This window comes from Homo sapiens, chromosome 11 (assembly GCF_000001405.40).
Source record: "Homo sapiens chromosome 11, GRCh38.p14 Primary Assembly".
Lineage (NCBI taxonomy): Eukaryota > Metazoa > Chordata > Mammalia > Primates > Hominidae > Homo > Homo sapiens.
Window position 1 is genome coordinate 132,898,725 of NC_000011.10, and position 23,357 is coordinate 132,922,081.

Here is a 23,357-nt window from a genome sequence, read left to right on the forward strand (position 1 = left end):
CTTCCTTTTCCCATGATTTTATGCTCTGCTGACCTAGAGGTCTTAGTTCCAGAGAGAGTAATGTTTCCATCAGGAGACACAACAATGATTCCATTGAACTGGAAGTTTAGACTGCCCCCCCCACCCCCGCAGCCACTTTGGAGGCCTCATGCTTCTGAGTCAACTGGCTATGTTATGGTGCTGACTGGGTGACTGATCCGGATCAGGAAGGGGAAACTGGATTACTACTCCACTGGATGTAAGGAAGACTATGCCTGGAATACAGGAGATCCCTTAGGGTGTCTCTTAGTATTACCATGCCCCATGATCAAGGTCAATGGGAAACTACCACAACCCAATCCAGGGAGGACTACTAATGACCCAGATTCCTCAGGAATAAAGGTTCAGGTCACCCCACCAGGTAATGAACCATGACCAGCTGAGGTGCTTGCTGCAGGTAAAATAATACAGAATGGGTAGTGGAAGGCAGTTATAAATACCAGCTGTGGCCATGTGACTAGTTACAGAAACAAGGACAGTAATTGTCATGAGTATTTTCTTCCTATCTTGTTAAGGATATGTTTTGGTGTACATATTATATACATGTTATAAATATGTTAAGCAAATATCTTTGGTTTTGCTCATCTCTTATCCCTTTATTATGTATAATAAGATTTTTTGACTTTATATCAGTATATATGTGTTGTTAATTTTACATCATAGTGTTTCAGTTATCATCCAAACACTTTACCTTCTCTTCTAGGGAAGAGATTAGTGCATTTTCAGTTGTATGCAGATAGTTTCACCACGTTAGGTGGAACTATTTCCTTGTTACTGTCTTCATTTGGAGGTTAAGTATGGTTTAATGGGATGCAAACAGGTGCCAAGTTGACAAAGGTGGACCTGTGATGATTAACTTTAGGTGTCAATTTGACTGGATTAAGGAATACCTAGAGAATTGATAAAGCATTATTTTGGGGTGTGTCTGTAGGGGATTTCCAGAGGAGACTGGCATGTGAGTCTAAGTGGACTCGGTGGGGAAGATCTGCCCTCACTGTATGTGGGCACCATCCCATAGGCTGGGACCTAGACAGAACAAAAAAGAGGCAAGGCAAATAGGTTTCTTTCCTGGAGCTCGGATACACTCTTCTCCTGCCCTTGGTCAGCAGAACTCCAGGCTCTCTCGCCTGTGGATTCTAGGACTTAGCCCAGCAACCCCCACTCCCACCCCAGGATCTCAGGCCCTGGAACTTGGACTGAGCAACACTACTGGCATTCCAGGGTCCCCCATATGTAGACGGCTGTCACGGGACTTCTCAGATTCCATAATCAGGTGAGCCAATTCCCTTAATAAATCTCCTCCCATTGATTTTTATGTCTCTAGAGAACCCTGAGTAATACAGACCTGTACAACTTGCATTCTTTTTATCAGCTCTTAACTGCAAAGCAATTCCAAGTAGCCATGCCCACAGCAAGTTCATAATGGACTTATTATAGGCTCATAATGGGGTCTTATTTCTGTACTTTCTATTTCGATGAATGTTCCACCAGCCATTCAATTAGGCCAGTCAAAAAATGGGGTGTCATCCTTGATATCACTCTTTTCTTCCTCTGATATGCAGTCTATCACCAAGTCTCAATGATTAAGGGTCTTTCAAATCTGTGTGTGTTTCTCCATTTCCACCCATCACTGTAGCCTAAACCACCATCATCTCTCATCTCAACTCTCGCCTTGCATCCCAAAGGGTCTCCAGGTGCACTCAGGCCCACTGATACGCATTTCTTCCCATTGCAGCCAAAATTATCTTTAAACAAACAAACAAAACATTTTTCATGTCATCATTCTCCCCTCAGCCCAGCCTCACTCATATCTTCTATTGTTTTAATAGAAATGAAGCTCCTAAATGTGCCTTACAGACTTGGCACTGTCTCCGCACGCTGTGACCTCCAGCTCCATTGGCTTGCTTTTCTCCTTCCTGCCCTATGGGCTCTGCACATTCTGTTCCTTCTCTATGAAACCCTCCCTAGCCAAACTAACTCCAGCTCCTTCATGTCTACAGTCAGAGAAGCCTGCTCTGGCATTTTTAACTAGTCCAAATCTTCCTCTCAAATTGGCAACAGGCAGTTCTAGGTGGCTCTCCATTCAATCCACTAGCGCCCTTGCCATCTCACTTCAGTTTGTGTTATTATTTAAAGTCTATCTCCGGGGCCGGGTGCAGTGACTCATGCCTGTAATCTCAGCACTTTGGGATGCCAAGGCAGGCAGGAGTTCGAGACCAGCCTGGCCAACATATAGTGAAACCCCATCTCTACTAAAAATACAAAAATTAGCTGGGCAAGGTGGTGCACACCTGTAGCCCCAGCTACTTGGGAAGCTGAGGCAGGAGAATCACTTGAACCCGGGAGGCGGAGGTTACAGGGAGCCACCATCATGCCACTGCACTCCAGCCTGGGTGACACAGCAAGACTCTGTCTCTCAAAAAATAAATAAATAAATAATAAATAATAAATAAATAAAGTCTATCTCCAGTGTTTGCTCCTTATCATAGGCTCAGTGTGCAGTATAGTGCCTCACATCCAGGACAAGCTAAATAAACACCAGCTAAATAATTAAAATCTCACCATAATAAATCACCAATGAACAACACAGTGTCCTTTTAAACTGAATAAATAATTGATTGAGTCCTCAGTTTTCTAAAGCGTGCAATGGGAAAATAACTGTTTCACAAAGTTCTTCTAAAGATCAGATGAATAGCCCAGCGTTGCACTTGTCATGTAACAGACTCTCAATCACGGTTTGCTTCCTTTATTTCTCTGCAAAATATACACAGACGATGACATGGAGGCAGGATGTGATGTACAATTAGCTATGGCTCAAAATAAGGGCAACAAATTTGGGGTGCAGGTTCCCCACTAACATGTCACACTGGCCACTCCATTTTCCCCAGGCACCGTGCTTCTCCGAGATGGGCACGGTGCGTCCTCAGCTTTTCACCTTGCCTCTCTATATTTCTCTGCGACAGCAGTAGAATCATCAGTAGTAGTGAAAGAGAAAAGATAAAGAGGCATAAAGGAAAAAGAAATGACAGTTTTCAGGCATGCCAAGTAGATTACTCAAATGCATCTTGATTTACACGTGACAGATGTCTTCCTTAAAAATATATGTAAACTGAATTGTACTTGGAATTCACAAGGGAATCTTGGTACTTAAAGAAATCCTCTACTGAATCCTTTTGGAATAAGAACCACCAACAGGATGATGAACTCCCCCCACCACCGGTGTTTGCGTCATGGGGCATTATGTAATTCCTTTTTACTCCAGCATAAGGTAAATGTATGTATGGCTTATGTAAATGAAGATACTTCTAATGTTAATTTCTGATGAAAAACCGTCCAGTGGGAGGCCAGATCAGAGGAAATGGTCAATAAATCAAGCTCGGGGTCCAGGAATTTATGGATTATAGCTGGTTGGAGCTTTCCTGAGGAACCCCAACTTTCTTCATTGCAAACTGAGGCTGAATGGCTGTAGGGTGCTGAATTCACACAAGAAGTTGTTAGCCCGATGGGGATGGGGCTCAAGTAGTCAGGGCTCTTGGGAATGAGCACAGTTAATAGTGCAATTAGCTTGGAGGAAGTGAAAATAAAAAACTTCCTGAGGGCTTCTGTGAGTAAGACACCCTGTGTGACGTGCTCAGCATAGTGTCTGGCACATGCTGGGTGTGCACGGGTGTGATTTCTGTGACTTGGCTGTTGAGCGGCCTGCAGTGCACATTGCCCCAACCAAAGGACTCAGGCCAGAAAACTATGCTGACGATCTCATCAGGGATGGGGGAGAAGAAAAACAAGAATTCAGAAGGAAATTCAGATATTTTACTGGGCTTGTTGGGGCTCAGAAAATGACAACCCAGAAGTCTGGTGCTTCTGCATGCTTTAACAAGAAGACTTTAGAAGCAGCCTCATAATCAGGACTTTCTGACCTCTTCTGCCCTCACCCCTGGCACAGGGAGGGGCTCTCTCTTGAATTTCCTTATCTGATTAAGGAAACTTCTTTCCACAAGAAAAACAGTGGTCTCAAGACTTGCTCCCTAGGAATCTCATCAAATAACCAGGAAAGAATCAAGGAGACTAAAAGTTGTCACCACACCCAGATAGACTTTTCATCTATTCTCATAAAGGCAACTCCGAGAAATTACCTGGGAGACTTTATCTGCATAATAAGACAACCTTTGTTTGCAGTGAAGTTCTGCCCTCACCTTTGCACCACCTCCCCCAGAGCCCAGAGGAACTTTGCTCTAGGCAATTGTTTCTTGGGCTCATTCATTTCCCCTGAAAACCATTTCCTACCCCTCATACTTGTCTACATCCCCCATTTACCTCTCTTTCATTTAAGCCTCAACTATCTGGCCCTTCTTTGAGTCTCATATTATGGGACTTCTGTGTCCATAGCCTGTTGATAAATTTGTTATGGCATTTTTTTCCTATTAATCTGTCTATAATCAGTCATTTCCACAAAGCTACAAAGAGGGCAGAAGGGAAGCTTTTCCTCCACCCTCACAGGCTAAAGGTTTCCCATATGTGACCAAGGACAGGAGGTTGTTTTATAATATTTATGCCATAAACTAGACATGGCTGAGATCTATAACTACACTGAGGAGTTACTATTTCTCTCTTATTTATCAAATTCCCTGAGAAGCCAGACATTACTGTTGTAAACCAAAAATAAAATTCTAAGCTCCCCAACTTTCTGAATGGAACCCTTCTCTCATTCAAGGCCATTCCAAAGTTAACCTGAAAAACTACTAATAGTTCAGGCTATGATGGGAATTGGGCGTTGGACATGCCTCATTATACCCTCCTCCCTTTTGGAATTCAGGCCCAGCTCAGGAGTTCACAACCAGCCTGGGCAACATAGTGAGACCTTATCTCTATAAAAATAAGTAAATAAATAGAAAAATAAATACACAAATAAAAAAATAAGAGAGAAAGAAGGGGTCAGTCCATCATCACTCTCCCAGCCAAAGTTAAAATAGTGGAACCCTAGAACAACAAAGCAGGAAACACCGTTGGGAATGCTCCTCACTAACCTTTCCCCTCACTGCTATTCTACCTTCTCCCTCTGTTATTTAAGGGGAAAAAAATGAGTGTTTGCATGTGCACGTGTGTGTAGTTTTCATTGGTAATGGTTGACGAAATTGGCGTTAAATTGTAGTTCAAAGATTTGTCTTTGATAGATGGCATTCTCTATCTGAAATCAGAAATCAGCTATATGGCTTCAAGGAAACATATTATCTTATAACCCCTGAATGTCAATATATAATTCTAGGTGACTGGATCAATGATGCCTGGTGAGTCTTGAAAGTTTTGCCATGGGCTGGCAAACAAAGATTGGTCCTAAAGTGTGGGGGAAAAGGGGAGAGGAGAAGAGATGGACTCACACTCAGCTGGAAAAAATCTTGGACACCCTTTTTTGAGCTTATTGGTTGTCAATCTACTGATTCAGGAAACACTTTTCACCTATTTGGCCATTAATACAGCACAAACAACACACAGAGGAGAATGCATTTCTATCTAATAGAGCAACAGATGCCAGGAGCTGCCCAGCACTCATCCATGCCCAACTTCCTCACTCCAACAAATTGTAAAATCATAATAAAAAAATCTAAATAACAACAGCAGCAGCTAAATTATTTCTCCATCTCAATTGATTTAGATGGAATGTCATCTTGACAGATCTATTCTGATCGAGTTGTCTAATTGAATAGAGTTCTCATTGCTCTTGAATTTGTGACCTCAGACTGCTGTGAAATAAATGCAATTTGGAGAATTGTTTCCAAACAACAACTGCTACTCCTCTGGGAACTGACTATTGCTTCTAGTTTTTGAAATTGTTGGTGAACCACCTACTGACTAAGCTATTAAGACTAGGTGTTTTGTTTAGATTCCAGGCTAATGGTTCTATAAATTCAAAAGCAAGAAATATCGCAGAAGCCTGCAGATGGCCGTGCACTTAAGAGGAGACACCCAAGAGGCTGCTGGCCAGGCTCCTCAGATCCTGACCTAGTTAGCAGCCCGCACCCTGGGCAGTCTGAGTGGTGGTAATTAGAGCTGTGTGTGGAAAAACCTGCCTAATGAAACTGCTTCAGAGGTCGTGAGTTTGTTTGAATTGGGATTTTTCTCTGGACCTAAAACTAAGACTGAGCTTGCCTCAATGTTCAACAATAAAACGAAATGTTTCAGAGACCCCACAGAGTTGCAGTTGCATTCAGAACCCAGTGTACATGCTCAGTGACACTGGGATCCCTTAAGAACTTCAGCTACTTCTTGGACATGCATTTATTTCACCGTAGTGCTAAACACTAAGAAGTCCAAATGGACCATCTCCTTCAGTTTACACAACACTACTGTGGAGGTACTGACAATTACATACCCATTTTATAATTAATGAGGCTCAGCTGTGTTATAGAACTTGCCCAGTGTCTATCTCACAGATCAAGGGACAGAGCTGGGACTAGAAAGCAGTTCTTTTTTTTTTTTTTTTTTTTTTTTTGACAGAGTTTCACTCTTGTTTCCCAGGCTGGAGTGCAGTGGCATGATCTTGGCTCACTGCAATCTCCGCCTCCCAGATTCAAGCAATTCTCATGCCTCAGCCTCCAGAGTAGCTGGGATTACAGGCACCTGCCACCACGTCCGGCTAATTTTTTGTATTTTTGGTAGAGACAGGGTTTCATCATGTTGGCCAGGATGGTCTCAAACTCCTGACCTCAGGTGATTCACCTGCCTCGGCCTCCCAAAGTGCTGGGATTACAGGCGTGAGCCACCACACCCAGCCTGGAAAGCAGTTCTGACTCCAGAGCCCAAATTTCACCACCATGCTAGGTAGATAGTTCCCAAAGATGGAAGGCTGAAAATACATGGGACATATTGACCTTCATGATGCAAAATTAAGAGACCAATTTCACTTTAGGAACACCCAATAGTGGCAGGATAATCTAGTCACATAAAAAAAAAAAGTGAGCCCTTGAGTCAAATTGCCCTTCCATAAATCCTAGTTCCAGCATTTTCTTCCAGTATAAGCTTAGATAAGTTATCAAATGTTTCTACGCCTCTGTATAATGGGAATAATACCATTGTTTTGAGAATTAAACAAACTAATATGTGTAAAAGCAGAAGTCATTGCCTGGTATATAGCCAATGTTCAATAAATGGGAACTATAATTTAATTAATGATGCATGTCTTAGCATTCATAGTCTTCAACCACTCCTCAAATGCACAGATTTTCTAAACTACAAGGAATGTTTCAGAATGTGAGCATGAAGCCTCTCTACTTTGGAAGGGTTTTTTGAAATGCAGCCTAAAATGTGACTTTTATACACCATGGTTCTCTTCTTTCTTCTCTTTGCTGCCTTTCGACATTCTCTTTCCCTCTGCCCCTACTAGAATGGGGGCACCTTTCATCGATGCATTAATCCATGGCTAAAACATGACTCATCGTAGAAATGCAAAGGAATATTCTGTCTGTGTAGCAGGCAAGGACCCATGGGGCAGGTTCTCATCAGAATGCTTTACAATAATATCAATCAGTATTAAAAATGTATGTTCTACTCAATTTTTAAAACATCTTAAATAAATCTTTAAATAAAGCTATTTTGTTTTATCTTTAGGGCCTATGAACAGTCAGCCCTGAGGGGCCCTTGCTTCCCTAAGAACCGCCCTTTCTAGAAAAGCCTCCCTCAGTGTGTGGTTTTCTGGGGGATCTCTGTGCTGGGGGAGTCAAGTCTTTTTGGTAATATTAATTTTAGATTGTGTAGGCACCATATTAACAGGGGAAATGAATACTATTCCATTAGGGTCGTTTACCATTCAGAATTTCTTCACAGGAAGCAGCTAGTTAATCCTTGCCCTTGAGGAACACACACTGTACTCTTCTCCTAATACCATTGAAAATGTCAGCGAGTGTACAGGAAAGGAAAAGAGGGTACTGCCCTTGTTACGGGGCTGGAAAAACTCAGGAGAAGCTGAAAATGGAAGTAGATATTTCCAGAAAGGAACAGGCTGCCTCTTTTATAAACAACTTTGGGCTGGCAAAGGTTGCTGGCCTCTGTATCCCCACCAGTGTTTCCTTGGTTGAAACCCAAATCCCTTTAGCAACCAGAGTGAGGCTGGTTGGGTTTCATGTAATAGAGGGTAGTGGGGATTGAAGCAAAATGCAGAATGCATATGGTAAAAGACATCCATGTTTATTTAGTCAACAAAAATATCGACAGCTCTCTACCTGACAAGGCAAATATGCTGGCTTCCTGGATCTGACAATCATCCCCTATCCTGACCATGAAAATCTGCCCAGAGTCTCCTACTAACCAGATTTTCCTGCTTACAATTCACAGCCCTCTAACATATCGTAAGAATTGCCATCCATTTTTACTTCAAAAATTGTTTTCTATCTACGTCACTGACTCCCAACAGGGGGCCGCAGCTCCTTTTGCAATATGAACCCTCCACATTTTCTCAATCCATCCTTCTAACACTCTAACGGTAAAAGCTGTTTTACGTTCCCTGGTCTTTCCATGGGGGTTCATGCCTGTATGCATTTCCTTATGCTGTTACCTTTTCCAGGAATGCTTTTCCTCCTCCATTTGTCCTTTGTCTGCTTCAAGAAATTGGCTCATGCCTGTAATCCCAGCACTTTGGGAGGCCGAAGCTGGTGGATCACAAAGTCAAGAGATCGAGACCATCCTGGCCAACATGGTGAAACCCCATCTCTACTAAAAATATAAAAATTAGCTGGGCATGGTGGCACACCCTTGTATTCTCAGCTACTCAGGGGACTGAGGCAGGAGAATCGCTTGAACCTGAGAGATGGAGGTCGCAGTGAGCCGAGATCACGCCACTGCACTCCAGCCTGGTGACAGAGCGAAACTCTGTCTCAAAAAAAAAAAAAAGAAGAAGAAAAGAAAAAGAAATTCAACTTCATGTAAATGTGACTCCATCAACATGATCCCTTCAAATGACCTTTACCCTGACTGCTCTCTAAGTCCAGTAGAATAAACCATTTGCTCATCGATGCTCCAAATGCTCACTGCACGTTGCTCTGTTACAGCACCAGCACGCTATGGTCGAGTTAGTAGTTTACACGGTTTCCTTCCCCACTGAACTGTGACATCTGTGCATGTGGAGGCCTGGTTTAATGTGCCTTAGTTATCTCACAGCTGGCAAATCTGCTGACCCATGGTAGGTCTGAGAGATGTAGAATGAGTCAATGAAAAAAAAATTGACTAAATGAGTTCCAAAACATATTGTGTCCCAAAGCTGTTTGGTAATTTTGCTCCCTGAAATCATTTGTAGTCAGGGATTTCTAAAAAGAAGTTGATGGTCACCATGACCAATAGTCATGTTATACCTCTAGGAGACAACAAAACACAGGAGCACAAGCGAGAGGACTTTCAGCAACAGCACAAACTCCTGCCCATCAAATACGGCCTGACTAATAACAGGAAGACTGACAGGAGCATGACAAATGATGTTACAGAAAGAAAAGTGAAAGACATTAGTCCCCTCCCCCAAAGAAACATAAGGTCTCTCTCTCTCACACACACACATATATGCACACACGTGCACACATAGGTACACACACAAACTTGAGGTCAGAAGACCCACATTTAGATTCCCCCTACAATTAATTAGCTGTTTAACTCTGAGCAGTCACTCAATTTCTCTGGGTCCCTATAAACACATTATTTTCCAAAACAGAAAAACCTAGTGTATATGAATTCCAAGTTTTGTGCTTACTTGAAAAGTCTAAGCTTCCAAGCCCTCTCCCTGGGTCTTCCCACTAGCCTTCTAGATACTTCCACAGGCACTCCCTTGTGCAATTCAGGCTAAGTGGTCTAAGGAGTCTAGGAGACTTGGACAACAGTGTGGTCACCACCCCCGGATTGACCACAGCGCCACCAGTTCTCACCAGACAGTTTCATCTTATTTATTGTAAACACAAAGATAAGGTGCTGCTTGGTTAGAAAGACATAGCGCATTGATTTGTACATGCCATAAATTGGCCCTGCCTTTGCACTTTCACGTTAATAAGTGATGATAGAGGAGCCTCAGACAGGAGTCTACTTGGGCTTTCTAAACATCACATTTGGTGGTCACAGGTAAGGATACTCAGCCTTCAGACCTGCAGGATTGAGGCTTGCAGTGGACTGTGGGCACCAGCTTGAGGAATCCCAACCACAGCAGCTCCCTGCACCAGAATCACAGGTTCCTCAAGCCCTGGCAAACCCCGGAAGAGCGTCGCTCAGGGGTCGCTGTGCCATCGCTCCTCCTCAGAAGGGCAAGGGTGCCTCAGAGACAGAAGCATCAGTGCGGGATGCCCACCACCCACACGGCAGAGCTGAAAGCGAGGAGCAGCTTCAGCTGCAGCCCTTGGGAGGTCGTCTCCCTTGGCCACCCAAGTGAACAGTCTCCTGCAGGGCTGTCTATCTGAGTGGGACATTTTTCCACTTCTCACACATCCACACTTTAAAAAAAAATAACCAGTCTAATGGTATGTTAATAATTCCAGATGGAACCCCAGACCTCAAGGGCTGAGTGTAACAGAAATTTCATGTAGGTCAAAATACTTGGATGTGTTCTTTGGGTCCAAAAATAGAAGTGGTGTTCAGGTTGTGCGAACATTCTGAGAGACCATTTCATAGGCATTTCTCAGAAGAGAAACGTGTGAGGCTGGAATGCTTCTGCATGCTGTGTGCCACAGCTTCCTGGAAGATGGCAGCCCACCCCAACCCAATAGGAGCTTCAAGGCCAGGTGAGATCACCAGCCCTTCTACCGCTGCCATCTGCACTTTGCTAAACAGAACCTGCAAGAAGAGCCTCCCAACTGACCAGGCTTCAGTCCGTTGTGGAGAGGGAGGGTGACAACACAGGAGGAAATGCTTCACAGGGCATTTCTTCCAACTACCAGCCTGTCACATCAGTGTCGGCTGATGTCACTCTGAACAGAAAGCTTTGGGGCCCAAGAAATGCCAAGAAAATGGCAGCCAGTGGGCAGGGCAGCCACCGGCCTCTTCTTGCTAATATATGCAGCGGATGTGGCATTTCTGACAATATTGCTTCTGCCTCACTTGCCATTTAATGTTAAGAGGCTTCTAGAATCTCCTGCATTTAAAGAGTAATGACTGTTTTCAGGGTAAATGCTCTGTTAAATAACCCTGGATTATTGTGTCGTGTTATTACATTTATAAAATGGCATTTCAAAAAATAATAATTGTTTTAGAGTTAATTGATGTTTTTAACCATCACTGTGTGGAGAATTTTTATTCAGAAGACAGGGAGTGAGCAAGGGAGAAAGAGATTTCCATCGAGAGAGTCGGTACTGAAAATAGAAACCTTTCCTGCATGTGAAATCCTGGTACAGAAGGCACTCCTCCTCTGAGCACTGCTTTCAATAAGCTCGTTTCACTGCAATTAAAGCAGCCGCAGGACAAAGGTAAATCTCAGCCGCATTCCCGAATGGAGTCTGCAGGCCTCGGGACTGGCAGTGGTACAGCAGGGCTGGGGGTAGGGGGCCTCAGCACATATTCGCCGGCCATTATGCCCCCACAGGGGCAGGCCGGGCCCCAGAGCAGCCTGAAGCAACGGCAGAGACCTGCAGCTCCACAGAGCAGTGACTTTTCAGATGTGAAGGTAATTACACGGCCGAGAGTCTCAGAATTTCATACCGCAAGAGGCAGAGCTGAATGCAGGGATATTACAGAATAAAACTTGGAAATTCCAAAATCTTCACATAGGGAGGATGCAAATGGCGCACAACCCTGAACCGCATCCCAGGTGCGGTGGGGATGATGTCACTCTCTTCCTTCCTATCTGAATCCTTCTCTCACTCTCCTCAAGCATGTCTAGAGGGCAGTGCCTCCCATTACGTGAGTGACAGATGATCCCTTCATCACCTGGTTTCTTCTTACAAGTATTTCCCTGAAGTAGGAATTGGGTATAATTTTTATGCTAGCTTTAAATATAAATATATGCACACACATAGAAGATAAAGCTCATTTTCATGATGATGGAGCTTAACAGACAGCCCAAGTCTTTCCAGTTGCAACTCAATTGCTGTTTCCGCAATATATTCTATCATCCAGAATCTTCTTACAAACCCTCAGGACCATTGTGGCTGCATGACAGGAGCCAGAGAATAGCAGAAAGTGAACAAAGACCCCAGGTAATTTGGAGGAAACTAGAAAGATGTTGGAATGCAAGGGTGAAAAGAATGATGGAGATCATTTAGCACAAATCTCTAATTTATAAGATGCAGAGATTAAAACTGAGAACGTTAAGCAACCTTCCAAGATCATACATCTGGATATTAACGCTGCAACAGCAACCCTCATCTTCTGACTCCAGAAATCCTACAATTCACCCCAATTCTCTTCTACCAGTCCTTGCAAAAGTCTGCGTGTAAACAATATCCATTTTCTCCCTTACTCTCAACCACCGCCATCAATAATGTGCAGGGTCAACTTTGCGAAGAATTTCAAGAGAATTTTGATATCTCAACAGCTGGAAACCAGTCATTTGAGCAACAGATATATGTCCTAGCTTCTTGAACTGCCAAATAACCAGTAGATGAGTCACTAATTCTGTGAACCCAGAATGACCCTGCAAACAATCATTCTATGGTGCAGAAAGAGACACGACAGAAGGAAGTTGGAATCTATTACCTCCTAATCAAAGCACACTTGGCAGAATGCCCTGGCTTTTCACACATTCATCAAGACATCCCGAGGAGAGTTTGCCTGATTGTCTCGGGAACTCTCCTAAGAGTAAGTGGACTGACATGTTATGCGAAAGAAAGTCAAACACAGAGACCAGTGAGCGCCATCTGACAGCAAAGATAGCAAGCCAAGTGACTCTCCAGTCATACAATGTACCATGAGCCTTGGCATCACATGCACTGAGGGGACCCTTCTCCTCTGTCCTCACACTCCATAGCCTCTTTAGCACAAGGCCACCCAAAGAGTGCAAATATGACTTAAAGACTTCACAGAAAGTGTGCCCCTTTCTCCATTTAGTCCAAAAATGATAAAGTTTGTAGTTACAGCTCTGTGTATTTAAATATAAAGAACTCTAATATTTCTAGACTTGTCAGGCAGGTAATTCCAAGAGTTGGAGCACTCTTTGCTGTCACCCAGGGACACACAGGAGCTTAGATTCAGAATGCACAGAGCTGGAAGTATCAGGTGAGTTATCCCTTTGTTCCTCTTCAGGACACAGGAAATGGAGGAAGTAGAGGTTAATCATCTTGAAAATTTGGAACTAATTGAGACGCATCAGTGAGATTCTGGGTATTAAGCTCTGGGACCATTAGAACACTTGGAATCTTCAGCATCCTATACAGCAACTCATGGAATAACATGGACTCTTTCTGACATATAAAAGAAATAAAGTCCTTCAAGACTCCAATAAAAAAAAAAGACAAATAAATAGCTAAGACTGCAAAGCTCTCAGATATAATATTGAAATTTTGACCTTATCTTTCATAAAGCTTGAAACTGTGATGATAAAATATTGTGACAGAAATATTTATATAGTATAGTACGTTGCAAATTCAATAGGTGACCAAGATAGTTTTGAATGATTTTGAAACTGTTATATTAGGACCAATATACAACTCAATATATGAGTCACCAGGATACAATAAACCCCTTTCCACCTCTTGGTTATGAGGTCGGGAAGCACAATTAATAATTAACTTCATCATCAACACTAACATCAATGTCATTATTATAAAAAAGCATATTTTTTATGAAGCACTTCATGCAACTAGTTAAATAAACATTTGGAAACCTGCAATCTATATACTTACAAATGAAATGAAAGGAAAACTCTAAAATGGATTAGAAAAATATCACCAAGACAACCCCTATGACAGCTTTCAACACAATCCTATTTTACTATGCAGACCAACAATTCTCAAATTTATCATCTCTTGTATCAACTATTTGGAATACCATCCTAACTGGGGTTGCTTTTTGTTTTTGTCTTTGACTCTCATCTCAGCCCACATCGCTCCATATTCCATGTGCTGCTGCTGGAATGACTGGTTAATACATCTTGACTTTGCTCAGAACTTTCAGTGGCTTCCCGTAGGATAAAATCCATGCCAGATCTTCCATGGGGACTTTGAAAACAACTTAGCAAATTAACAGGCAACTTTTCACCATATATCAAATATATGTCAGGGACTATTTGATGCTTTCGTATTTATAATCTTAATTTACCATTAGAATAATCCTTGAGGAGAGGCATTAGTAGAGTTGGAGTTGCCTGGAGAGACAACCTGGAGAATGTTATACACAACCTGGCAAATATTCTACATATTACCACAATCTCCTATTTTTTCTGTCCTTTCTTTTATTATTTAAAAGTAAGACATAAACAAATCACAGATTGTCATAACTGCATTGATTGAAATTGATACATGGCAACATTATGAGATTTTATGCATTTGTGCTGGCAAAGTAACTTAAAATCAATGATTTGGAGAGAAATTATTCAGGAAATCTTAATGACTTATTATGGTAAAAACACTTCTAAGAGCGGATCCATTAATGGAGGACTATTACTGGAAAGTTAAATTTAATATTCAGGAAATCAATTAACTAGTATTTAATTACTTAAAATTATGATCCATTAGTAAACATTGGTAAAATTTGCTTACAAATATCACTTCTGATTATGAGTCATCGGGAAACAAAATGACTAATATTCTACCATCGAAAGCAATTTGATTCACTTCACATTCCCCCTTTCTGTCTTTCTGTGAATGACTATTGTGTAAAGCCAGAGACCATTAGAGCAGAAAGATGCACTGAGGCCATCTGACCCCTCCTCATTTCACAAGGCCGACTCTCAGTCCAGTATAGTGCCGTGGGCCTCCAAAGGTTGCACAGCTCAACCCGCACTGCCTTGGGACTAGAATCGAAAGCTCTCAGCTTCTAGGGCAGCCCCCTTTCTGACCATGGCTCCTTCTGAAATGACCCACAACTCCAAGAGGGAACCATAGGGCACATACCCTCATTCTTTTTCTCTTTTTGGAGCTAGTAAAAATCCATATCTGCTTTAGAAAGTCATGGGGCCAAAGTCCTTTCTCTCAGCTCCACAAGAGAAGGTGGGCTACATAGCACTCTCGACGGACTCCTCCCCTCTCTGCCTCTGCTGCAGCTCACTAGGCATCCTTTCGACTCATTTTCCGGTGTTTTCTGTGTTGCTATTGGCATAACATCCTATCAGTGCAGTTAATTACATCCACTTGGAGTGTGAAGGACAACTTGATTGTCTCAAAAAGCCAGAGGCCATATAATCCATCTCACTGCTCTCACAAAACAAGTTCCCAATTGTCTCTGCTGCGAGGAGGTAAGAGGGACACCCCTGGCAATGTGCTGACACACATTCCCTGCCGCAAATGGAGAAGTCACAAAAGAAGTGTCTGTTCCTCTCCCTCTATGGGCAAAGAGAACTGCCTTGTGGCCCTCTGCTCCAGATCCACGACTGAGACTCTTCGATATCTCCACAATGCTTAGTGTCTTCCCAGTACAAGTCAATATCGCTTGATCCATTCTGAACTTGGTAACATTTATATGCAACTGAGTTTGCACATCTAATTACACGACCTGGTAATATGGTTCGTCTCTTGTGACCATACATTTTCTGTTCCAATATAATATTTATGGACTCGTTTAGATTTACTACATGTTACCCAATGTCTTGCTTCTGTATACGGAAAAATAACCAGAAATTAAAATTTGTTGTAGTTATGGCCATGATGTCTTTATCCCTTTGTCCTTAATCCTTGAAATGGAAAGCAGACTAAGAAACCAGAGTCCCAGCAGAGAGTGAACGGCTGTGCTGGAAGGCGGGCTCTTTACCTGACCTCAGTCACACTGCCCCTCAACAGGGCACCTTGCAAGACCAGGATGTCGAACTGCCTGTGGTTTGGCTGATTCCTGTACCAACCCATAGCAGCCACTGAGTCATGAACAAAGTTGGGAGACGGGATGGGGATCCTCCAGGCAGTGTGAAACCAGAGCCCCAAGGAGCTGGCTAAGAAAGTGTTGCAGCAGAATTCCATACGCCATTACACAACACAAGGTCTTTTGTGTGACTCTCAAGAAGCTCTGTGTGGTCTTTGTGTGAGAGCTCCTGATGCTGCTCCCTGCAGCTGATTTGCTTTATGAGACAAATGCTATAAGTTATATAACCAATCACATTGCCCTCCAGGTCTGACAACCTTGCGGCCTGTGCAAGAGCTTTGTTCTTCTCTTTATGTTATTACCCTTATTTTCCTTTTCTTTCTAACAAAAAGTTTAAAATTACATTAACTCAACATCTATGACCTTCTAGTAATAGAGAAGTATACAGAACATGTGTATCCCATCTTTACCTTGCTGCCTCATTCTCATTCACCTCTTCAGGGGCCCTGTTTCTTGCTTGTGTGTAAACCACCAGACCCTATCTCCCCATTTTCAACATTATATATGTGAACGTGTATACACATCTATCTGGGTTATAAACATGTCATATGTACTGTGGCACAATCTGCTTTTTACCTCCCGGTGAGGCATGCACATTTCTGGCATCCACATGTGCTATGATACCTCATTCTCACACCAGCTGCAAGGCATGACATGGGAAGGCTGGCAAGACCTCAGCCTGTGCAACCATTTAGGCAGTTTCCACAGCCTTGCCCAGCCACCACTCCTTCTGGGATTGGACCATCAGAAGTACATCCCAAGAGTTTTTCTAAATTCCCCCTGCAGAGCCTGGGACCAAAAGTCAATCAGCATTCAAATCTCTAATTTGTATAGATATGGACAATCACCGTCTCCAAAAGACTCACACATTGATAATCTCACCAGCAGTGTGTAAGTGTCACCTTTCCCTACAGTCCTCAGTGACACAAACTGTTTTTATTCATTTTTGAGAGGTAATTTGTATTTAGTGCTTTAATTTGTATTTCCCTGATAACTCATAAGGTTCAGCATTTTCCCACATATTTATTCACTATTTTATTTCAAGTAATTGCTCATTCATATTTTTTGTCTACTTTCTATTGAGTAATTTATCTTTTTTTGGTGGTGATATGTGACTGTTCTTTATATAATCTAGATATTAATGCTATAAATATTGCTAATCATGTTTTCCCAGTCTACTGCTTATCTTTTCTACAGAGATCTTTCATATTTAATTAGGCCAATCTATCAATATATCAGTCTTTTCCTTTATTGCTTTTGGGTTTTTCCTCTTAATTACAAAACATTTCACAACTTCCATAATTTTGTAAGTGTGCATGTATGGGTAAAATTCTTTATTTTTCTGATGCTGTCAGAAGTTTCATATTTATATTAATATTCAGATCTCGGATCCATCTGCTATTACTTTTTGATTGTAGTATAAAGTGTAGTTTTACCCATTTCTAATTGATGGTAACATATATATGCATCCTTATAAGCCTCTTTATACTCCTTGGAAATAGGACACTAATTCAAATCAGCTTTACAGTCTCATCACACTAAGAGAGACTCCCTCTTGTCAGGCATTTGTGCTGACTCTCCCCACCCATGAGGGCCCCTTTTCTCCATGACTCTGGGGTTCCATGGCCTAGTCAAGCTGTATCAATGTGAAACATGAAAAACGGAGTCAGTGGCAAGCCTTCTACTGTGGATGCGCTGGCACTCTAGACAGGCATGGACGTCACTGAATTCCCATTAGAGTTGTCAAGGTGGAGACAGGTAAGTAAAATTCACAGTTCCTAAGCTTGAACACACAATCTGAATATCCCAGACAGTAAACCTGGAAAGAAAGCAGAATAAAAGAAGATGCACCATGAGGATATGAAAACTTGCACAGAGTAGTAGTACACGTAGAGCTTTGGCGGCTGAAGGAAGGTGGTAGAATAAAGAGGTAGAAGTCACCGGAAGAGAAGAGGAAATAGGCTATGTGAGTGTTTAAGTAAAGAGAATGTCATAGAAGACCATCTAAGACTTTGTAGGGGTGTTCGAGTGAGCAAAGTAGAAAGGGAAGAGTTGAGGCTACCCTCACCCTGCCTCCTCCCTTCACAGAGGGGCTGAGGATCTTACTGCAGTCGGCAGCAGCATGGGGTGCTTACCAAGACAGACGACACATTAGACCTTTCTACTAAGTAGGAAATTAAACTTTCACTAAGGCAGCATGAGTCTTCCCCTTCCTATTTTATTGTAAGATATGAAAGGAGCTTCCCATGAGGTCCCAGAGTTTGTTTTGCAGACACTGGTCCCTGGAGATGAGTCCCCCAGAGCCTAGAGAATGCACCCCTTCCAGTGACCAAGCCCAAGCTACCATAACTAATCCATCATCTGTGGCTAGCAAGGCTGGCTCCTGAGTGTCAATGTGGAGTTAATTAGACAAATACCGTACGCTCTAGTCCAATTGATTATTAAGACACCGTAACGAGGATTTAACATCACGGCTTGTATTGGAAACACTGTATTATAACTTGCCTGCTCACCCTAGAAACTCTGTGGAGTCATCAAGGGACAATTAGCATTCAATAGTAGCTATGGCCTTTTTTTATCACTGCTGATTTAATAAGACAGTTATTGTTCTCTATGTTAATTAATATCTATTGATTAAAGTTGAAAGCTGGGCATCAGGAATATATGCTCTGGTTCACTCTGGAGTAGTTAGCATGTTTTTCTGCTCAGCCTGACTTGCTACTTCCTCTCTATGCTCTGAAAGGGATTCTTTCAGGCCCTGAAGAGATCCCAGACAGATCCAACATTGGCCTAGCAATTAATGGAGCTGGGAGACAGATGCTTCTTCCTGGGAATTGGGGAAAGAAGAAAATTAACAGTGTTCTGAGGTACCTCGTTCCCTCCAAAGAAATTCTAAGTCTAGAAGCTGTAGGTTTTCTTGTTGCCATGGTACCTGGAACTAGATTGGCCAAGGTCACCCTTCCCTGGTGTCTACATGAAGGGCTCACTACTGTACCTGGGGAACGCTCTGATTTCCTTAACATGAAGTAGCACAATGGCTTGCTTATCCATCTCTGCCTCTTTGGGCTGGGTTTTCTGCTGTGGTGGTGATTAATGTAATTGGAGGGCCTACTTGGATCATTTCAAACTCCTGTACTTCTGCCCTGAAATGAAAGAAATGAGACTAGATCCACTGGGTCTTTATACAGAAAACAAGCTTTTAATCTATGGTGCTCCATGATTTCTGGAAGAAACTCATCCACTTCTACCTCCATGCTTGTGTGGAGTGGCCACTTTTAAAAAATTGTTTTAATATGTTTTCCTATTTTATGATTAGAGTTAGTTCTATGTCACTGGTGTTGGAAATTACCTCACAATAAGGTAAAAGCACAATGTAATCTTTAATTTACTAATTTAATTAAATGAATAAAATATGATTTTTACCTTTATAATGCGATTTTTAACATTCACGTTTTAAACTGTTTTTGTATCCCTTTTTTCTAGTACTATGTTTATTGAGGAATAACATTCATAAAGTGAAGTGCATATAAAGGGCACTGATCTTAAGACTGCAGCTCAGTGATTTTTCTACACATCTACTCTTGGTTGACCACACCCAGATCAAAATACAGAACATTCCCATCCTGCTGCAAGTTCTTCTCACGTCCATTTGTAGGTATTGACTCTCAAGCTTCCCTGTACCTCCTGCAGCACCTGTACTGACTTCCATCATCATTAATTTGTTCTGTCCTGTTCTTGAGCTCCATAAAATTGGAATCATACAGCGTGTGCACTTTACTGTCTGGGAAACATTCCTTTTTAAAAGTAAAAATGAGTGTATCAAAAGCAGGGGTCTTTGATTTTTTTAAGTCAGTTTATCACACTTTATGATATCTCCAATAATTTTTTCTAGTAGGTTTAACTGAAATTTTTCATCTTTCTTAAACTCTTAAGAACCTTGACATTCTAAGTTATGATTCCCCAATCACCACCAATCTTACCAGAGGACATTTAAGTTACAAAGGCTATAGAGGTGTCTATTTCACATTCTTTTTCTCAACTTACACGTGCCAACATAAAGCACCAGGGTTGAAAAAAAACATTGTCACTTTTGTCACTATAGCCACCTTATGAAATAGGAAAGCTGGGATTAGGAAACAATACAATGACATCTTGGACTGACTGTTGTCTTATCTTTGGACACTTGTGTATGACTCAATTAATTATGCTTGGAAAAATTCAGGCCGAATTAAGCCTAGGAGCTAACTGTGGATAATGGTAAAACATAATAGACAGAACTAGGAAACATGAGATGTGGCAAGATTCAGTACATTCACTGGCAACTGAGAAGACCATCAAACCCAGAAATAGGCAACATTTGAGAGTATAAGTAGATAGATAATGAGTTGGGCCTATAGCCTTAAGCCTGGATTTAATCACAAGGTTTTGGTCCTTGAAAAGAGACTAGCAAGAGAAAGCCAGGGCCTCAGTTTCAGGGAAATTAATTTACTAGGCAGGCTACCAGGACGCAGACCAACAAGGTAAAGGCATGTTCTAAGACAGTGGTTCTCAGAGAGGGGTCCTTGGACAAGCAGCATCAGCATCACTGGGAAACATGTGAGAAATTCACATGTGCAGACATCCACCCAGACCTACTGAGTTGGAAGCTCTGGGTTGAGGCCCGGCAGGGTCCAGATGACCCTGACCCAGGCTGAAGTCTGGGAACTACTGGTCTAAGCTGTTAGAATGAAGAGTGCTAAGTGGAATTAGGTGGAATCTGTTCTCAGGAGTTAGGGTCCAATGTTAGAGCTGAGCTAGAATCACAGAAAGCAGTGTTGGGTGCCAGGGCGATTGGCTGCAGCTCCCAAAGCCTCTCTGGTGTCAGGGCTGATCCTGGGGATGAAGAAACTCTGGAACAGAACCATCGGAATCAGGTAGAGCCTGATGACACACGTGCCCCTTTCCAGTGGATCTCAGCAAGTACCGTGATGTGTTGAATTGCTCGCTTCTGTCTCCTCACCTCGGAATTACAAGCTTTTTAAAGATAGAGGCCATGCTGTTCATCTCCACCCACAGTGCCTAAAAAATGCCTGAACCAGGACAGGAGCTCAAAGAACATTTGTAGAAAGAATGACACAGGAAGTGAGTGAATGAAAGAATGGATAAATAAAAGACAAGTTAAAAGCAGAGAATGCGTATTGTGCGAGTCCACATACATGAAATGTCTAGCATAAGCAAATTCATTGAGACAGAAAGTATTTGAAGCTTGCCAGGGGCTAGATGGAAGGGGGAAATGGGGAGTAGCCGCTAATGGGTTTGGGCTTTCTATTAGTGGGGATGAAAATATACTGGAATTAGATAGTGGTGATGATTGCACAACCTTACGAATATAGTAAAACCCACTGAATTGTACATTTTTAAAGAGTGGATTTTATGATATGTGAATTATATCTCAATAAAAATAATTACATTTCTTAAAAAGCAGAATGTGTGAATATCAAGCAAGGCATTTTGGAAGAAACATTTCATAGGCCAAAAGCTATGCTGCAAAGACCTGGGAGTCTAACGCAGTGACACTTCACAGGACAAAACTACAAAGACAAAAGGAGACTCATGCAAATGGACTGCATCCCACCTCCTGGTGCAGCTTCCTTCCTCAGGCTCCTCATCTGTGAAGTGGAGAGAACGTTGGCTCTAAACACTAAAACTAAAAGTTACTGTGGTTTGCGGGAGAGGGCAAAAGAGCATGTGAAAAGCTACATCAGTTAAAAGGACACTGGGTGCTCTGGGTGCTGTCTTGGATCGCAGCCCCCCTGGAGAAGGACAGGGTCTCTCTGGGCCCAGCCCACTGCCTCCGAAGCCAGGGTGCACACATGGCCCCAGGACAGCCGCGGCCCCTGGGAGAGAGCTGCAGCCAGCTCTCCAGGCGCTTTACGAGCCCTTCTTGTTATTACCTCCTATTTCTTTTTATGCTACTGCCAAAATACCACCATTAATCTTTCGCACTCCCTGAAGGCAAAACACGGGTAATTGGATTTATCTGGTTTTAGAATTTGTTAGGTTCTGTTGCAAAATAAATAAATAACTGACCTCGAAAGAGAGGGTCGTCTTCTGGGCCCGTGCTGTCATGTCACGGCCTGGCCGGCGGGAGCCCACCTGGCGTCTCCTGAGCTCATTAATCTCGGCTATCTCCTCCCCACACCTTGTCCCTCCTGTCTTCCAGCCAGTCCCTTCCTGCACTCGGCTTGATTTAAGAAGTTTTCCTTGCCTGACCCCCTCAGCTCCAGTGCTTCCCGCTGCGTCTGATTCTCCCTGCAGTCTTCTACTCCCCGCCACATGCTGGCCTTGCTTCATCACTTTTTTCTTTTTCCATCTCCTTCTACCATGGCTGTTTTCTTTCCTGATAGTACTGTGTGAGGTTGTTTAAAACTTCCTTTCGACAGCCTGGAACCCTCGTGTTTGTCACCTTGTTTCCCTCAGCTTTTTTGTTTTTCTTAAGACACAGATTGCTGCAGACATCATGGGTGATCATGGAAGACAAGTTCGCCTCCCTGTTTGGCTTTTGATCACGGTAAGGCCACGACGCAGTGAATGCAATGGACGTGCGTTCTTTGGTTGTCCCTTTATTGCACGTGTGTTAAATCCAGTAGAAACACCCACAGTGGGCCCTTCCAGGCCATGCTCATCCTTCTCTAAGAATTCTGACCACCTCCACCTCCATGGCCCCCAGCCATAGCACAATGTGTGGGGACTACATTTGTGGCATGGGGCTTGTGGACATTACTATTTGCCAGCCCAACTGCAATTTCTCACTAATAACTTGCTGACAGATCCTTCATCCAAGTATGGGTAGGAGGGAGGGAATGCCAGAAACCCTCTTTCCAGGACCCTAGCTCCTCCAGCTAGAGCCTGGACATAAATGGGATCCTAGCCAATGATCCCACAGGGAACCCTGCTCAGAGAGAAATTCTGGAGAAATTTTTTTATAAGACACCCACAAACCCTTAATGACTACATTTGGACTTTGTTGTATGAGAAGGTGATGTCTGGGGCTGCTGCAGTCATCTTGTAGCCATAAAAGGTGCTGATGTCAGCACTTTAGCTGATGGAAACCATTCCTGGAACTGCCTCGCTCTAGCACCTTATTGAGGCCCTCCATTGAGTGAGACTATAAATTTTACCTTTTTTTTTTGAGACAGAGTCTCGCTCTATCACCCAGGCTGGAGTGCAGTGGCATGATCTCGGCTCACTGCAACCTTCGCCTCGCAGGTTCAAGCGATTCTCCTGCCTCAGCCTCCTGAGTAGCTGGGATTACAGGCACCTGCCACTGCGCCCGGCTAATTTTTGTATTTTTAGTAGAGACGGGGTTTCACCAT

At 42.8% G+C, this 23,357-nt stretch overlaps 1 protein-coding gene across 8 annotated transcripts in view, besides 2 other annotated features; it reads right to left on the reverse strand.

Moving 5' to 3' along the window:
• The window catches only part of OPCML (opioid binding protein/cell adhesion molecule like), a 1,117,521-nt gene that overhangs the window by 483,744 nt on the left and 610,420 nt on the right, over positions 1 to 23,357 (reverse strand). The window lies entirely within an intron of this gene.
• Positions 11,640 to 12,839: an enhancer, noted in NCBI's record as "BRD4-independent group 4 enhancer chr11:132780259-132781458 (GRCh37/hg19 assembly coordinates)". NCBI's record gives its function as "activates an origin of replication core promoter dependent on BRD2, P300/CBP, MED14 and CDK7 cofactors, and independent of BRD4, by STARR-seq in HCT116 cells {active_cell/tissue: HCT116}" and the evidence as "EXISTENCE:reporter gene assay evidence [ECO:0000049][PMID:35650434]".
• Positions 21,309 to 21,886: an enhancer, noted in NCBI's record as "H3K4me1 hESC enhancer chr11:132789928-132790505 (GRCh37/hg19 assembly coordinates)". NCBI's record gives its function as "activates a minimal SCP1, AML or CMV promoter by ChIP-STARR-seq in naive H9 embryonic stem cells {active_cell/tissue: H9 hESC(naive)}" and the evidence as "EXISTENCE:reporter gene assay evidence [ECO:0000049][PMID:30033119]".